Here is a 3,217-nt window from a genome sequence, read left to right as displayed (position 1 = left end):
TAGCAATGGAGAATTCTTTGGTGACATTTGAGCAAACAATCTCATGGGCATGAACATGCCAAAGCCAACTTGCAGGGAATTATGGAGAGTGGGAAAGAAAGCCTGTTTTAATACTTCTGAAAATAAAGGGAGAACAATAAGATGGTCACTAAAGAGAACCATAGGATCAGATATATGCTCTCCATACAGTTTATACATGCTTGCTTTTTGACAAAAGGGATTAGTGTCTCTGCTTCTCAAAATTGTATGTTCACCATATTTTTAAAAATAGTTAAGCCAGTTGGGCTACAGATAGCTGCAGATTTCTCTCTCAACTCCGGAGTCTCTTCTACACCTCAAGTTGTCCCAGTCCTTTATAATGACAGTGGCAACTACACAACGTTTTCTGTCACAGCTCTCTCTTCCTGACTTCACTCAAAAGGCCTACTAGAATCAGCAAAAAAAAAAAAAAAAAAAGATTTCTTTGATGGGACTTGAGTGATCAATTTTAGTAGAGAGATAATGGCAGAATTTGTGTTGTAGTTGTTCTGTTTTGAGAGTACAATAACATATTTGGACCACATTACCTCTCCAAAATCAAGTTTCTATATTCATAATTCAACTGAAACACTGTGTAAAAGCTCCTTGGTGACCCTGTTATGAAATCCAGTGACCACGTCTCAAAGTTTTCCGTCTTCAAATATTTCAAACTGCTATATCTTTTTTTTTTTTTTTTGCAAAACTTTCATCTTTATGGTTTTCTTGACATGGGCTTCACTGGAGTCCTCCTTGTTAAGAGGGTTTAAAGAGTGGATATTATTATTGGTTGAAATATAGAGCATGGCTTTCTCCTTGCTGTCTTTTTCCCTTCCTAACATCACTATAATGTCTGTGAGGTGAGCAGGCATGCAGAAGCCCTCTCCATGCGCAGAAAGTAATTTGCTCCACAGTGACAATGTTCATATGTATAAAGCCCCAAAGAGGCACAAGTAGGCTTCTCTCTTCATGTGCAAGGACCCTGCATGAGCATCATGATCAAAAAGAAGGAAATTGGATTCAGTCTCAGTACAATTATCATTTTTCTTTGTTTTAAAGTCCAATTGCTGTTGAGAATTTACTCCTTGTTGACTCCATTTGTTGCTTTCAGACACTGATATAGCAGAATGAAGAGAAAGAACTTCACAGAAGTGTCAGAATTCATTTTCTTGGGATTTTCTAGCTTTGGAAAGCATCAGATAACCCTCTTTGTGGTTTTCCTAACTGTCTACATTTTAACTCTGGTTGCTAACATCATCATTGTGACTATCATCTGCATTGACCATCATCTCCACACTCCCATGTATTTCTTCCTAAGCATGCTGGCTAGTTCAGAGACGGTGTACACACTGGTCATTGTGCCACGAATGCTTTTGAGCCTCATTTTTCATAACCAACCTATCTCCTTGGCAGGCTGTGCTACACAAATGTTCTTTTTTGTTATCTTGGCCACTAATAATTGCTTCCTGCTTACTGCAATGGGGTATGACCGCTATGTGGCCATCTGCAGACCCCTGAGATACACTGTCATCATGAGCAAGGGACTATGTGCCCAGCTGGTGTGTGGGTCCTTTGGCATTGGTCTGACTATGGCAGTTCTCCATGTGACAGCCATGTTCAATTTGCCGTTCTGTGGCACAGTGGTAGACCACTTCTTTTGTGACATTTACCCAGTCATGAAACTTTCTTGCATTGATACCACTATCAATGAGATAATAAATTATGGTGTAAGTTCATTTGTGATTTTTGTGCCCATAGGCCTGATATTTATCTCCTATGTCCTTGTCATCTCTTCCATCCTTCAAATTGCCTCAGCTGAGGGCCGGAAGAAGACCTTTGCCACCTGTGTCTCCCACCTCACTGTGGTTATTGTCCACTGTGGCTGTGCCTCCATTGCCTACCTCAAGCCGAAGTCAGAAAGTTCAATAGAAAAAGACCTTGTTCTCTCAGTGACGTACACCATCATCACTCCCTTGCTGAACCCTGTTGTTTACAGTCTGAGAAACAAGGAGGTAAAGGATGCCCTATGCAGAGTTGTGGGCAGAAATATTTCTTAATGGATTGGATTATTTCATTAAGAGACCATTAGCCCAGTGTAGTGTGTCTACTCACAAACATGCCACAATACACAAATTCATCAAATATAATATTTGTTGAGAATACTGTCAAAGAATAGAAATGCTTGTCTGTTTAGTGTTCTAGGCATGGCAGAAAGCAGGATTTCTGCTCTGGTGAATTTTGTTACCAGATACAAGAATCACTCCAAGCTGGATTAAGACTACTTGTTTCTGTGCTTGAAGATTTCAGTTTTGAAAGCTTTTTGGCTCCCATTTTACCTGAACTCTCTGACAGTCAAATCTTTGAGCTTGTCTGGTTAGGGGATGTGGAGTAGAGACAGTGGGAACATAGGTGGCAGCGGTGTTAGGGAAATAAGCCGCAGAGACACCAACCTTTATTTCTCTCTGCTTACATAAAAAAGAAAGCTTTCATTCTCAGGAGTCAAATAATATTCCATGTGACAGTCATTTTGTAATTATATCTTAATTCTTGCGGATTGAAAAATGAACAGCTTTGAAAAAAAAGTCTCTTCTTTTATTATCCAGCTGTATTCGCTCCTCAAATAGTGTTCATTTCTATGTGTATTCCTTCCTTCTGTGCAACCAAGGCAGAAATCTCTGCTGTTCCCTAGGGGATAAGCAGAAAGAACACATACTGGTGGCTTTTCTCTGAAACTACATTTTTATCCAGATGCACTTTTCATGAAGACTCGTCTCTTTTCAACTTATGGTAGCTTTTTAGATTTTTAATTTATATGTAGTAGCTTCAGTGACATTGAAGTTGTTGTCTTAGATATTGGTTATACTAATTCTAGGGTCCAAGGTAAATGCCATTAACTTCCATTCTCTCAGCAAACTGTGCAAGCTTCATATTTCTCCAGATATTTATTTGTAAAATAAGCATAACTGTGCTACATTATTGTATACCCTCAATGGGAAACATTGTGGGAATATTTTGTTTTATGAATCTTCCCACCAGAGTTTATCTCTACTCTGAGACAGAGCTGGAAGGTACTTTCTAAGAGACACAGGTATGGAAACATCTGTTTTCACACACTCATGACATCTACTGTTGTTCCATCCTCAAGTCAGTTCCTATCTCTTACTCTCGAGTTTTATTTTTCTGTTCCTAACCACAGAAATAG

The 3,217-nt window shown here is 39.1% G+C and overlaps 1 protein-coding gene across 1 annotated transcript; it reads left to right on the top strand.

The window, feature by feature from the left end:
- The first annotated feature begins 1,142 nt into the window (after positions 1-1,142).
- OR10J5 (olfactory receptor family 10 subfamily J member 5) lies at positions 1,143-2,072 on the top strand. The gene has a single exon (NM_001004469.1). It carries the CDS (start codon positions 1,143-1,145, stop codon positions 2,070-2,072), a length of 930 nt encoding a protein of 309 aa, NP_001004469.1.
- The last annotated feature ends 1,145 nt before the right edge of the window (positions 2,073-3,217 follow it).

Source organism: Homo sapiens, chromosome 1 (assembly GCF_000001405.40).
Source record: "Homo sapiens chromosome 1, GRCh38.p14 Primary Assembly".
Taxonomy (NCBI): domain Eukaryota; kingdom Metazoa; phylum Chordata; class Mammalia; order Primates; family Hominidae; genus Homo; species Homo sapiens.
This window is presented reverse-complemented; position numbering and strand designations above follow the sequence as displayed.